At 43.3% G+C, this 13784-nt stretch overlaps 1 protein-coding gene across 1 annotated transcript, besides 1 other annotated feature; it reads right to left on the reverse strand.

Moving 5' to 3' along the window:
* Nucleotides 1-2281: 2281 nt before the first annotated feature.
* VN1R4 (vomeronasal 1 receptor 4) lies at nt 2282-3329 on the reverse strand. Its single transcript, NM_173857.3, has one exon. The coding sequence runs from the start codon at nt 3269-3271 to the stop codon at nt 2366-2368; it is 906 nt and encodes a 301-aa protein (NP_776256.2). The 5' UTR covers nt 3272-3329; the 3' UTR covers nt 2282-2365.
* Nucleotides 4981-5643: an enhancer, noted in NCBI's record as "NANOG-H3K27ac hESC enhancer chr19:53772628-53773290 (GRCh37/hg19 assembly coordinates)". NCBI's record gives its function as "activates a minimal SCP1, AML or CMV promoter by ChIP-STARR-seq in primed H9 embryonic stem cells {active_cell/tissue: H9 hESC(primed)}" and the evidence as "EXISTENCE:reporter gene assay evidence [ECO:0000049][PMID:30033119]".

Raw genomic sequence — 13784 nt, forward strand, 5'->3', positions numbered from 1 at the left:
GTATGATTCCACTTACAGGAAGTGCAAAACACATCAAAGTGATCGATGCTATGAGATGTCTGAATAGTGCTGAATCCTTGGGAGTCATGACAGGAAGGAGTGCATGGGGACACCTTGGGTTCCAGGAATAGCCTGTTTTTTCATCTAGAAGATGCATAGGAGATGCGTTCAGGTTTTAAAATTTCATAGAGCTGTGCACATTTACACAGCTGGGAGATGGTACATAGGTTACAATTTAGAGAACTGGGAGATGGTAAATAGGTTAGGGTTTTAATGTGCCAATATTGCCAAGGTGAAAGTTAAAGGTCTTACATAACTTTATGATTATTTTATAGAAGTAATTTCAAAATGTAAAACGAAGATAGTGAGTACAAAACCTTCTAAACAAAAGTGCAAAATGTAGAATTGCTTTAAAAATGTTTTAAAAACACAGAAGTTAAAATAGAAAGAATAAGAAAATAGGGAAAGTGTAAAGAACACAGAATAAATTGGTAAACATAATCCTGAATATATCCATTATTACATTAAACTGAAACAGACAAATAATTTTTGTTATAGTAACATTGTTTGACTATAATTAATTGAATATTTTAGACAGATACATAAAACATTACGAAAAATATACAATAACGAAAAATACATTCTATGTAATTTTAACCAATTAAACAACTAGCATGGCTATGTAAATAACACATGAAATAGACTTCATAGTTGGTTTAACTTGTCACTATTATAATTAATATTTTTCTACATTTCTTAATGTAAACATTTCTAATATTCCTTGGTAGATAGCAAACATAATGCCACTTACTATAAACATACACACAGGTATGTTCCATCTTGCTTTGTGATCTAATGTGCAGTACATAATCCTAAGTGCCTCATACAAGTTAAAAATGTTTCCTTATTTTCGTTCATGAAGTTCAATACGTTAAGTCAAACGAATTCTTTTGTTCGATGAACTATTGAATCTTTAATACTTTGCATCAGCTTCATAATGAAAATAAAGACTCAGTATGTTAGATTGTTTCTTATAATTGGGGCATAAGCATTTTGCTCCTTTGGAAGTCTACCTGTCATAATCTCCACACGAACACAGTGGATTCATACTTTCTCCCTCAATATAGCCATTTCTCTGCTATTTCAAGTAAATTTGAAGGAAATGAATGTCTGTGCTCACTTGCTCACCTTAGAGGTAGGAAAACGCAACCCCCAAATCTCTTTCTTTCCAACATGGCCAACTGGCATCTTCACATGATAAAGAAAAAGAGTCTACCATCTACTCGTCTAGATCCTCAAATCTATGCAGTCTCACAGAGTGTGTGTGGTTTTCTGTTGTTGTTATTGTTGTTGTTTGTTTGTTTGCTTTGAGGCCGGGTCTCACTCCCTTAGCCCAGGCTGGAGTGCAGTGGCGCGATCTCGGCTCACTGCAAGCTCTACTTCCTGGGCTTCAAGTGATTCTTCCATCTCAGCCTCCCAAGTACCTGGGTCTACAGGCATGTGCTACCATGCCTAGGTAATTTTTTTCATATTTTTAGTAGAGATGAGGTTCCGACACGTTGCCCAGGATGGTCTCGAACTGCTGGGCTCAAGCCATCCTCCCGCCTTGGCCTCCCAGAATGCTGGGACTACAGGCATGAGCCAGCACGCCCAGTCAGCATCTGCTTTTTAATAGTCAGCATTCACAGGATGTTTTTAATTTTGGCATAAATATATTTTTTTGTCTCATTCTTGATCAGTGTAACCATTTCTACATGAAAATGATTTAAATATACTGATTTCCCTCCATATAGTTATATTTTAAATTACTATTATCTGTCTGAGGATGTAACGTACAGATTTTATAACTTGGGACCCAAATCTGGAATTAACCAAAACCTCGCCTCCAAGCAACCTCATTACTTCAGGAGAACATTTTTTTCTTCACTTTCCTGAATGGTCATATCACACACTGCTACTTGTCATGTAACTTTTTCAACAATCTCACGCTTACTTAATTTCTGCATAGATTTATTATATCAGATCGAAGGTTGCACACTCAAAGAGATCCCCATCATTGCCAGATTGATTCAGGACCTAATTTTTTTAATTGCGTAGACCTTTAATGACTCTACTGCAGGCCTTAATAAAACTTTGATAATATGAATATTTACATAATAATTGCATCATATTTCATTTACAATTGTTCTTACTAGTTATTGTTTATCATTGGGGTGGAAGTTCACCCTGTCTTGTTCATCACCTTCTCATAATTGGGAGAGGTTCATAATTAAGATTACATTGCGGCACAGAAGAGTAAGTCATCAATTGAACCATGAGCAAATATATACAATGTACATGTTTATGATGAGGTTAGGAGATCTTGTCATCTTTTCCAGGCAAAACAAAACCTGTATACACTGGGGTCACAGCTCATGAGAACAAAGGGGCTGAGAGTTGGGAAACATACACTCATTAAGGCTGAAGTGTTCACCAGTAAACTATTGGGATTATCCAAAAGAGCCATACAAACTTGGAAAAGGCAGGAGAGAGTGTAAGAAGACACAAAGGTGCTCACCAGGATGAGGATGCTCTGCGTAGCTCTGTTCTCTGGGGAGGCTCTGGGGGAGAGATTGCTCCTATCAATGTGCTGGACCCGCTGCTTGTGCCTGTGCAGTATGCAAACCATGGAGCTGCTGACCCAGAGCATGAGCCCCAGACACAACACATCAGGGAATGATAACAACATTGCACGCAGTGTCTGTGCGATTTTGTTGTTGCCTCCCCCAGAACAGTATCCCAAATCCTCGTTCACTGTGATGTTTGTGTAGTTCCATTTGCCAGTCACATACATGGGAAAGATGATGTTTACCAACATGCACACGATCCAGCACAGGAGAACAGAAAAGCCAACATGCTTGGGGGCTTTCTCTTTAAGTTTTGCCCACCTGGATTTCCTGGAGCTGACCGTGATCACCTGGAAGACACTCAAGAGGCAGGTGGTGCCAATGGACACTCCCCTGCCCACTCTATGGAGATAGAAAACAAGTTTGCACCCAAGAGCATTGAGAAAATATCTAACCCCAAAAGCTGCCATTGTCTGGGGGACTCCTTTACAGCGGAGAGCTAAGAAGTTGGCTACAATCAGGTGCTTAACAATCAAATCTGTGGACCTTAACCTGCACCCAGTGCAGTAAAAGGAGAGATAATGGAGAAGAACAGAGAAGCTCCCCAGGACTCCCACCACGGTCTGTGATAAGATCATTCCCACTGCCACATACCGGGAGGCCATTCTGCCACTGATGTCTGTCACTGATGTTTGTCTTCAGGGCTGGGAGGTCCTGCATGGAAATAGGAGGCATGAGCTACGTTTATAGTGTCACCTGCAACCCAGCATTCTCCACCTCCCATTGCTCTGCCCTTAGAAATACTTAAAGTCACTCTTCTCTTAAGAGGCTTTTGAGAGTTGAATGCGTAACCTTTAAAGAGCACTTCCCATGTGGGAATCACTGCTGTGCAGATCATACGTGCGGCAACTTCTTTATTCACAAACCTATGAGGCAGGCATTACTATTACTTTCATTGTAAATATGAGAAGGACATACACACAGAGAGGTGAAGTGGCTGGCAACATTTCCACCCTACTTACAGGCAAAATGCGAACTTGAACCTGCCTGGTTTTATTGCAAAGACAGTGCATTTAGCCGTTATAGTTGACTAACAAAGCTAGATAGCTGTGTTCTTTGAATAAGACACACACACACACACACACACACACACACACACACACACACATACACACACACACCCCTTTGTTTTTATTCCTTGTCATTATATTTCAGTCTTGTAGTAGGTTACTGTATGTTGTAATGATTTTACATTATGTGTAAAAATGTATTCTATTTGTCAATATCCAAATAAATAAAGGTTTAGAGATCTTAAAAAATGTAGATGCAGGGATTACAGTTTGATACTATAGAAACCTGCACCATGACAAGTTGGATTTAATGACTGCAAGCATGGATCAATATTAGAATGGAAAGAGAGTAAAAAACATTGTGAGCATTTGCTTTTGTGCCACGGACAAAGGCATAAAGGCACCTACCACAATCATGTCTTACCCAAAACAATAGGACATGAAACAACAATATGGGATAAAATAGTGTAAGGTAATAACCAAATTCTTACAAATGTTAGATGACATATCTAGATCTATTAATAACTGAGTTAAATAAATTATTATCCTTAGGACAATATTTGCATAACTAAATTAAAATGTGACAAACGTGAAAATTGGAAACTCTAGTGGGTGTATATTATATATACTTTGTAAACGGAAATTAGAGAGTTTGGGTGATGTTAGAATCTATCTGAAGCAGAGAACACATCAGAGGACACATTTGAGTCTGATAGCTGCTCTCTTTAGCTCATTATTATAAAGTTACCTTTTCCTTAAATGCTGCCTCCTTAACATCAAGAGGAAAGACAGTCTCACCATAATCAACAGACTATGGCAGTTTTCAGTAGAGACACAATTAATGCTCCCATTAAGCCCTGCACACTCTCAGAATTAGAGAAAACATTTTCGTTCCAGCAACTACTAATTAGATACACTGTTTGTGTAAGGAATTACATGACTCCTGTAGAGTCAATCTATTCATTACAAGTATGGTGATATTATAGTCATTTCCTCAGCAATCCTGAAATTTTAGTGTATAATTCCTGTTGGGTAGGCGGAACAGCAGATTGATTTTAGTACCACAGTCCTTAAGAATGCAACCAGCTTTCATTATTACGACAGATTGATTTAAGAATGTTAGTCCTTAAGAACATAGTCAGGTTTCACTGTTATTTGGTGAAAAACCAACAGTGCGGGTCAGTGTGGATTCTCCTAAATCACATCAGGACCGCCCAAGGATTGGTGTGGGGCTAGGACCCCATTTCTCTTTAGTAGCTCAGCTCATGGCTCACAACCATTCCTCTTTTCTTGGTGACTTGGGGGTTAGACTAGTTTTCTTTTTTTTTTTTTTTTATTGATCATTCTTGGGTGTTTCTCGCAGAGGGGGATTTGGCAGGGTCATAGGACAATGGTGGAGGGAAGGTCAGCAGATAAACAAGTGAACAAAGGTCTCTGGTTTTCCTAGGCAGAGGACCCTGCGGCCTTCCGCAGTGTTTGTGTCCCTGGGTACTTGAGATTAGGGAGTGGTGATGACTCTTAAGGAGCATGCTGCCTTCAAGCATCTGTTTAACAAAGCACACCTTGCACCGCCCTTAATCCATTTAACCCTGAGTGGACACAGCACATGTTTCAGAGAGCACAGGGTTGGGGGTAAGGTCACAGATCAACAGGATCCCAAGGCAGAAGAATTTTTCTTAGTACAGAACAAAATGAAAAGTCTCCCATGTCTACCTCTTTCTACACAGACACGGCAACCATCCGATTTCTCAATCTTTTCCCCCACGCTTCCCCCCTTTCTATTCCACAAAACCGCCATTGTCATCCTGGCCCGTTCTCAATGAGCTGTTGGGCACACCTCCCAGACGGGGTGGTGGCCGGGCAGAGGGGCTCCTCACTTCCCAGTAGGGGCGGCCGGGCAGAGGCGCCCCTCACCTTCTGGACGGGGTGGCTGCCGGGCGGAGGGGCTCCTCTCTTCTCAGACGGGGCGGCCGGGCAGAGGCGCTCCTCACTTCCCAGATGGGGCGGCGGGGCAGAGACGCTCCCCACATCCCAGACGATGGGCGGCCGGGCAGAGACGCTCCTCACTTCCTAGATGTGATGGCGGCCGGGAAGACACGCTCCTCACTTCCCAGACTGGGCAGCCAGGCAGAGGGGCTCCTCACATCCCAGACGATGGGCGGCCAGGCAGAGACGCTCCTCACTTCCCAGACGGGGTGGCGGCCGGGCAGAGGCTGCAATCTCGGCTCTTTGGGAGGCCAAGGCAGGCGGCTGGGAGGTGGAGGTTGTAGCGAGCCGAGATCACGCCACTGCACTCCAGCCTGGGCACCATTGAGCACTGAGTGAACGCGACTCCGTCTGCAATCCCGGCACCTCGGGAGGCCGAGGCTGGCGGATCACTCGCGGCTAGGAGCTGGAGACCAGCCTGGCCATCACAGCGAAACCCCGTCTCCACCAAAAAAATATGAAAACCAGTCAGGCGTGGCGGCGCGCACCTGCAATTGCAGGCACTCGGCAGGCTGAGGCAGGAGAATCAGGCAGGGAGGTTGCAGTGAGCCGAGATGGCAGCAGTACAGTCCAGCTTCGGCTCGGCATCAGAGGGAGACCGTGGAAAGAGAGGGAGAGGGAGACCGTGGGGAGAGGGAGACCATGGGGAGAGGGAGAGGGAGAGGGAGAGGGAGAGGGAGAGGGAGAGGGAGAGGGAGAGGGAGAGGGAGAGGGACTAGTTTTCAATCTAGAACAATTTCTTATTATAATAGGATAACTTACCCTGGCTCCTGGGAGGCACCCTTCCCTACAGACTGAAACAGAAACTTTCTCCCCAGCTCCATCTTGCTGCTAGGACGGTGGGCTCAGTGCGAAGGTTGCCACAGCCAGGATCATGTGGGAGGGAAGCAGCCAGACCCTGAGATATGGGTTTGTGGTTCTGTGACCTCACCTCCCCTCAGAACTGCAATTATCTTTTCACCTGCAGTGGCAACGACAGTGCAGCCTTGGGGAGCTGAGAACGTTTCAGAACAACTTTTCTTCCCAATTGCTAATCACCAAAAGCAATGACAAGTTTCTGGCCAGCATCTCTTCAGAGACTATGAGGAGTGTTTGGGAGAGGCTCTTTCGTCTCCATTCCCTGGAGAGACACAGTCTTACATGGAGGGAGCAGGAAACGCTGAGTTCTGACCTGTGGCACACTCACAGTGAGGGACGAGTGTCCCCGGATACTCTGCTTTGCTGGGAGGTTCTGCCCCAAAGCGAGCTCTTTCCTAATCTTCATGCCACTCAGCTGCAGCATCATTAGATTATGTGCAGAGAAGTGAACCCAGACAGAGTGCCTGAGAAGGATTTTCAAAGGGATACAAGTAAAAGGACAAACAGGATGCCAACGGCTCAATGCCAATTAATTTGGAATCTAGATGATGTGGATCAGGTGGCTAAAAAGTCACGCTTTGATCAATCCTGGGAAGCAAATACTGCTTACTAGATTCAAGAGCATTGGATGGTTGCCACAGTCCTCTACATTTGTATGTGTGTGTGTGTTTCTGAATGTTCAGTAATGATCACTGATTGCTCTTGTAATAAATTAAGAAATATAAAATGTGAATTCAAGTTAATCTTTTGGGTTTTCCTACAAACAAATGTTATTCAGGCCCTCCATTCAATGCATCTCAGTTTCCATGTCAGGGATTAGAGCCATAAGGTGAACAACCCCTACCGTACACAAAGACGTATATTCACACATAGATGTACACACACAGGTGCAAACACATGCATACGTGCACAGCAGCACAAATCAAAGGAACATCACATACATATACACAGCTAGACACTCGCCCTCACATACATATTCCACCACAGGCTCACACCCACCCACACACCTATCACAAACCCACACTCATATTCAAATACACTCACTATGCCCAGCACTCACACAGACTCACACAGTCCCACTGACCTTTAAACACCACACTCGCAGAGTCAGCACACGCATTTGTATCTTGATACCAGGTTCCTATCTGGAGAATAGCGGCGGTCATGCCTCTATTGTGATTCAGCCTTTATACTTCTTCTCACTTTGCACCACTCATGATGATGACGTCACCATGTGCAATGTATAAAATGATGTGCACGTTGCTAATTTGGTCCAAGGCATTAAGTAGAAAAGTTGGAGTACTGGGGTCGATATTGCATGGGTGTGTGACAGAGGGTCTGATATTGCGTGGGTGTGTGACAGAGTGTGACATTGCACAGGTTTGTGACATAGGGTAAATCTGGGGGCTCATGGAAAGGACGCTATTGAGGCAGAGCACCTGTAAATGTAGATTGACGGTGAACAGGAGACAGAGCACAGAGGCTTAAAAGGGACAAGGAGGTTAATTTCCAGACAGTGGAAGATGCCGTAGGTTTTAAGGGTGCACAGGGGAAAAGCGTGCAAGGAGCTAAGCATATGGGGGATACTAGGTGCTGTGAGGACAAGGGGTGCCAGAGTCATGGAATGAAAGGAGACGATGGGGAGGTAGAGATAATGAGGGAAAGTGGGTAAACAGCAGGACAGGGTTCAAGACACCGGCGACTTGATGTCAATGGAAGGTTAAAGAAAATGAGGGGAAGGGAAGTAACAGGTGGGGTGCACAGGTCCTGGGAGTGGTCAGTGACCCAAAGTGGAGACGGGGATGGGAATGGTGGAAGGAACTACGTATATGTCGTAGGCCTGGGAGGAAAATGAGAGCAGGGTGATGAGAGGAACTGGAAGGGTCATGGGAATGAGCAGCCAATGGGTTTGGGGGAAGAGGGCAGGGACTAGAGAGTTCTGGGAGAAGGGTTGGAGGGCTGGGGAAGCTGAGGACATCGGGAGGTTGATTGCTGGGACATTTGAAGGAGAAGGGCATGGAGATTATGGAATATGGGCTGAGATCATTGGAATGTGGATTGATTTAGGGCTTAGGAGAAGGAGGACATGGAAGGTGGAGAGTGTGGGGGCAGTGGGAGGTGGGGAGGGCTTGCCTGACTTCCCCACAATGGATGATACAGAGGTGCTGGAGGCATGGAGGCCAAGAAGGGCATGAGATAGCGGTGGGGTCCAACGTAGAAGTCTAAAGCTGTCAGGAGGATGGGGGAGTGGATTGATGTGGAGGCCCGGGTGGTGACTAAGGGTCATAATGGTGGTGAGAGGGAGGCCACAGGGGAGATGAAGGAGGAGGGAGGAACTACATGGAGGTTGGGGTCGTGGAAGGCACTGGGGAAGATTGGAGGTCACTAATTCATTCTCCATTCATCATCTCTCTCATTTACAGTGGACTCACAACTGAGTCATGGATAGACTCTAGTTCCAGTTCGTGAAGAGCAAATTATGATTCTGTAAAACACCCCCAAGAATGCTTAAAAGTTAACATGCAGTAGAGGGCCACAGGGAGCATCTGGGATGTGCAACATGCCACAGCATTTTCTCTTCTCCTTCAGGACACCAGGTACAGAATGTGACTGCAGTGGGTCCGGCAGGAGAGGCTGTTTCCTGGCACCTGGTGCTCAGTGATAGAAGGAGGTGTCAGAAGGCCCCTTCCTGCTTCTGTGGATGTCTTGAGTTTATTTTGTGTCCCAAATTCAAAAGTATGAGCTTCTTTTATTTATTGTGGTATTTCCAAAATATGGCACATGCATATTAATAGCATATAGTAATATGCCATTAAAATATAGCATATTAAGAAAATAAAATACAGAATTCAACATTTGAGCACTCTTTCCTTTTGCTTTTCTGTCACTGGAAACCATCACAAGAGGTGAAGAGTGGTAATCATTTTGTTGATACATTGAGAATATTTTTTCAATAATATTTTATCATCAAAAAATGCATTGGCTGGTTCTCCAACCCCTGGTGTTATCGTGTGGTTATGTTAAGTTCCACGTAGGCAAAAGAGACTTTGTGGTATAATTAACAATCAGCTGAAATGAACCCGGGAGATTATCCTGGATGATCTAGGCGAGTCTAATGTAATCAGCTGAGCTCTTAAAGCAGACAAAGAAGTTAGAGACACCGCCAAAGAGGAAGTCATGGCTTGGAGGGAAGAGGGGGATTTCACAGGCTGTTGCTGGCTCTGAAGACGATAGGCAGGTGGAAATCATGAGAAGAAAAGGGGATTTGTCAGCCACCTAAATGATCGTAGAAGCAGAGATTCTCCCCTGTGGAAGCAGATTCTCTCCCAAGCTTGCAGAGAAAAGCCCAGGCAGCTGACCCCGGGATTCAGACCTTGTGAGACCCTGAGCGGAGGACACAGCCAAGCACTGTGGGCTTCTGACCTACGGGGAAAAAATAAATGGGTGCTGTTGTAAGGCGCTGAATTTGTGTAATGGTGGAGTCATGGGAAACTGATAAGTACAGGATCCAATTTAATGACAAAATGTTTAAACAGTTAAATAAAATGAGCTATAAATACCGCAGCAAAGATACAAGGCTGATCCCAGGCATAACAATTGTTACCAGTTTGAGATGTATCCTCCTTTATATATTGATAGCTCTATAAATACATCTCTCTCTATATATAGAGAGAGAGATACATGTATGAAGATCTTATATATAGACAGATATAGATCTATATCTTCATATCTATATCTAAATGTAGAGTTACAGAGACATAGATCTATAGAGATAGACATAGATACAAATATAGATAAATATGTAGACACACATATATGTTTGCATAGATGGACATATACATAGATAGGTCTATTTGTATATATACATACACATATACATTATAAGGCATTTTGTCTTCCTTCAAAATTCATATAAATATATGTTCATGTTGGAGTCACTGTTCGTGTTGCTTCACCCAGTCAGTGATGAGTGTGGAAGATGTTTCTATACCTCCTTCTCGGAAACACCGCATCCTATTTCCTGGCACGTATGCATGAAGCATGTCACTGAATCGCTCCTGTTTACCCCTGTACAGAGTCGCATGTGCTTGTCTGTCTCCTGCTGTGAAATGCTGCAGGGAGTGTAGGTGGCTGAAAAAACAATACTTTTATCCTGTAATTGATAATGCTGAACGTGAGATTTTATTTTTGCATGGGGTCAGACAGTCTGTAGTATATGATTGTGGGAGGAAGAAGTGGGTAAAGAAATCAATAATATTTTATCATTGAAAAGAATGCGTGAATATGCACTATTACTGTTTGTCAATTTAAAAATAAATTAATTAAATATAAACAGTAGGCACCCCAAAACTTTTTGAATCTATTACACATATGCAATAAAAAGAATGCAGTATGATTAGAAACATCGTTTTCTAAGAAAAAAACTATTTTTTCCATCATCGAAAGTACTCAACCTAAGATTTTATTTTTGCGTGGGGTCGAAAGGTACATAGTACATGCTTGAGGGTGGAAGAATTGGGTACAGAAGTCAGCTACAGGTAGTTTTTTGTTTTAAAAGGGTATGCGACTTTTTAAAACATAAACTTAATTGACAAATAACAACTGTACATATTTACGGAGTACATTGTGATGCTTTGATATATGTATATGTTGTGGAATGATGAAGTCAATCAGTTTTATACCCATTATTGACATAGCTATCACTTTTTTGGCAAGAACATTTGAAATTCACTCTCTTAGTAATTGTGTATATTTACAGTATGCATTATTATGAACTACAGTCATCATCCGGTGCCATAGATCTTAAAAAATTATTCCTCCTTTCTCACTGTGCATGAATTTTTAAGATAAATGCAGTGGAGGTCAAAGGATTAATGCAAGCAAAGATGTTTCAGGGAAGAAGTTTTAGCAGTTCTGCTTCATAAAAATGGTAATTTAACCTGTTTCAGTTTTCTGGACAATATGAGCATTTGGATTTTTTGAAAGCAAGTGAATTTCTTATTGATGGCAAAACAAAACAAAACCATGATGTTTTCAGAGAGAGAACACAGCAATTGACCCAGGACAGGACATTTACCTGAGAACATGCCTTTCCTATCTCCTAATCCTTCTCTTGCTCTTCCTTATTCCCAGAGCTTCTTCCTCAGATGAGATTATCTTGGGAAATCCCACGTGAATTTTGAAAATATGCCTTTTTAACTTCGTTTTCTCTTCCCCACACCACCACTGCACCCACGGGCAGAAGGAACTTGAAATGGAGAAAGGGCAACCTCTGCCTCTGTCCTTTGTCACAGGAGAGGTTCAGGAAGCCTGTGGGTGACAAACCCACCTGAATAGGCCAGACAGACCCCACACCCTGATATCTCTGTGAGAATTCTTGGGAACACTCCTTTATCAGGTCCTTCCTTGCATTGCTGTAAAGAAATACATGAGGCTCGGTCATATTAAAGAAAAGAGAATGAACATGCTCATGGTTCTGCAGGCTGTACGGGAAATATTGCAGCATCTTTCTCTAGGGAGGCCTCAGGAAGCTTTTACTCATGGTGGAAGGCAAAGAGGGATTAGGCATTTCACATGGCAAAAGCAGGGACAAGAGAGTGTGGAGGCAGGTGCTGGACACTGTTAAATGACCAGATCTCATGAGAACTCACTTACTCTGGAAAGGACACAACCACAGGGGAGGAGGCTAAACCATTCATGAGAAAACCGCCCCCACAATCCAATCATCTCCCACCAGGCCCCAGGTCAAACACTGGGGATGACATTTCAATAGGAGATTTGGGCGGGGACACACATCCAAACTATATCAACTCCCATCTCGTCTCTGCAGAGAGGCAAGTCTTCACTCCAGCCCTAATTCCCAAATGCTGCCCAGACCTCAGGATCTTTAAATCCTGGTGAGTTGCTGAGCTCCTGTCCACACCCTGGAGCTGTGCCTGCCTTCCTGTTCCCATCAGAGCCACTGACTCTTTCCAGGAGCTGTCCCTGGAACTGAGAGTTGGCTTCTTGCAGTTCTCCCCATCTGACATGGGCTTTTAAAAATTCCATGGATACATGGAGAGTTTGGGTGACCCATCCCCCATAGCCACACTGCATACTCTAGTCCATTCCTGGACTCACAGTGAGCCAGACTGTTCTTAGACCTCACTCATCCTTGGTCCCACAAGGGCCAGAATCTCCAGTCCTGGTTTCCACTGAGCTCCCTGCCATGGGAGACTGAGCTGCTCATCCCCTTTCGAGATACAGAATGAAACAGCCTGGGCTTATGTATGAACATTTTAAACATGCAGAAAATAGTGTATGTTGTTCAAAATATATAGTTCTAGGTTAAGTTAAACAAATTATGGGACGGGCAAACAGCAAATTATATTATTTGTTTCAGATGTACACATGTGTGATAAAATGAAAGTGCTAGCAACAGAATAACTAAGAAATGGAGAAAGAGGGAGAGGTGATTAGATCAGATGTGATTGCATCATGATTAGGTTAGCCAGGGGGAGTGACTGTGGGGCTCTGGGGCAGTATAAATGCCAGCAGGAGAATGGATCTTCCCCTCAGTGTTCTTTGCTGTCTTCATCGCAGAAGCCCCACTGTGAGGAGTAGAGTCTGCAGAGGGTCCACTTACCTGAGCGACTGCTAGAGGGAAGGAAGACAACAGGTTGGTACATTACAATTTTGGGACTTGGTTTATTCCCACAGGAGAAATAGAAGAGTGAGAAAACTCTGTAGTGGGTGGTTTTAGATGTCGAGGTAAAGATTACTTAATTGCTTAATAGTGTTTCTTAAGACAGAGCCTGACTCAAAAAACGTTTCAGAAATTGTAATGATCGAAAAAATATATATTAAGAAAAACAAAAAGAAGAAAAACAAAAAACAAAACGAAAAAAATTAAAAACAAAATTTTAATGATCATATAAAGATCAACGTTTGCAAGGAATGCTCACCCAGCACCCTGAATTGTGTGGGTGCTGGATGAGCAGTTATGGAGACCTGGTGCCTTTGACGGAGGGCTTTTAAATAAGAGATTTCTTCACTTATCTTTTGTATCGGTATACTCATTGACGTTTGCTAGGAGCTGGTAAAAATTCAGGGCCCTGAGCCTCTATACCTAGATTAAGCCAAGCAAGACTTAGGCTGTGAGCACCCAATCTATAATGGTGGTATAAAGAATGGTTCTACTTAAATACGTAGTTAAAAATGTTTCTTTACCTCTCAATTTTGGCGATTTGGATTTTGAAGAGGAAAGCACACTTTATTCTAGATT

Source organism: Homo sapiens, chromosome 19 (assembly GCF_000001405.40).
Source record: "Homo sapiens chromosome 19, GRCh38.p14 Primary Assembly".
Classification (NCBI taxonomy): Eukaryota; Metazoa; Chordata; class Mammalia; order Primates; family Hominidae; genus Homo; species Homo sapiens.

What these genes read in the sequence shown, in the direction of transcription:
- VN1R4 (NM_173857.3), bottom strand. Translation starts at nt 3,271, where the DNA reads ATGGCCTCCCGGTATGTGGCAGTGGGAATGATCTTATCACAGACCGTG.